The sequence below is a fragment of the Homo sapiens genome, chromosome 10 (assembly GCF_000001405.40).
Source record: "Homo sapiens chromosome 10, GRCh38.p14 Primary Assembly".
NCBI lineage: Eukaryota > Metazoa > Chordata > Mammalia > Primates > Hominidae > Homo > Homo sapiens.
The window spans coordinates 65,289,141-65,290,295 of NC_000010.11; the positions used below are offsets into that span (position 1 = coordinate 65,289,141).

Sequence of the window (1,155 nt, forward strand, 5' to 3'; positions counted from 1 at the left end):
AGCTGGGCGTGGTGGCACGTGCCTGTAGTTCCAGCTACTCGGGAAGCTGAGGCAGGAGAATTGCTTGAATCAGGGAGATGGGGGTTGCAGTGAGCCGAGATCATGCCACTGCACTCCAGCCTGGTGACAAAGTGAGACTCTGTCTCCAACAAAAAAAAAAAAAAAAAAAGAAAAGAAAAAGAAAAAGAAACCTACTCTAGTATTTCTTATACTACTTTGGCTTTAAAAACACAGGTATTGAGCTAACAGGGCAGTGGCCACTAAAAAAATTGTCTTAAAGGTCCTCTTGCCTCCTTAGGATGAGAGTTAAATCTGAAAAAGAAAGAATTTCTTATAAAAATTATGGAAGATAAGGCATGAAAATTATTAGGCAAATAACCAACCCTACTGTCTTTCTCACTCCCTGCCAATTGACATTTCCTAGTAAATTCCTTAGGTATTACTGAGGATATTCGGTCTTTTCAATTGTCTACTTTGTAGGCATTTAATTTTTATTTCTTATTTTTAGTTTAAATTTTTATTACAAATTTTTTCTTACATAAACAAAGATAAAAAAAATTACCTCCATGTAATTTTACCCAACTTCAACAAATACCAGTATCTTCCATTCTTGTATATCTCACCCATTATTTCTGCTAAAGGTTTATGTTTTATTATTTTTTAAAATATTTCATTATGTAACTGTAATAAATTAAGACTTTAAAAAACATAACCATAGAACAAAATGAATAATTTCTTAATATTCCAAGGCTCAGTGTGTTCAATTTTCACCAATTACCACAAAACTATTCATATTTGTTAGCTCAAATCAGTATCCAAAGTCTCCTCGTTTGGCTGATAGTTCCTTTAATAATATTTTTATACAACAGTTTTCTCTCCTCCAGATATATTTCCTACAGTTTGCATTTAGATGAGCATATCATTTTGTAGACTCTTATCATGTTGCTTTATTCCATCAATTTCTATAAACTGGTATTTAAATATAGAGGGTTTTTTAGATTTGCATTTCCTCCCCTTCCTGCTTCCTCCCTCCCTCCTTCACTCCTCCCCTCCTCTCCCCTCCCTTCCCCTCCCCTCGTCTCTCCCTCCCTCCCTCCTTTCCTTCCTTCCGTCCTTCCTTCCTTGCTTCCTTCCTTCCTCCCTTCTTTCCTTTTT

At 35.8% G+C, this 1,155-nt stretch overlaps 1 annotated feature.

The window, feature by feature from the left end:
* Window positions 536–705: an enhancer, noted in NCBI's record as "experimental_14849 CRE fragment used in MPRA reporter constructs". NCBI's record gives its function as "activates a minimal promoter by MPRAs in K562 erythroleukemia cells, with activity observed for both the introgressed and non-introgressed 10:67049519 variant alleles {active_cell/tissue: K562}" and the evidence as "EXISTENCE:reporter gene assay evidence [ECO:0000049][PMID:34662402]".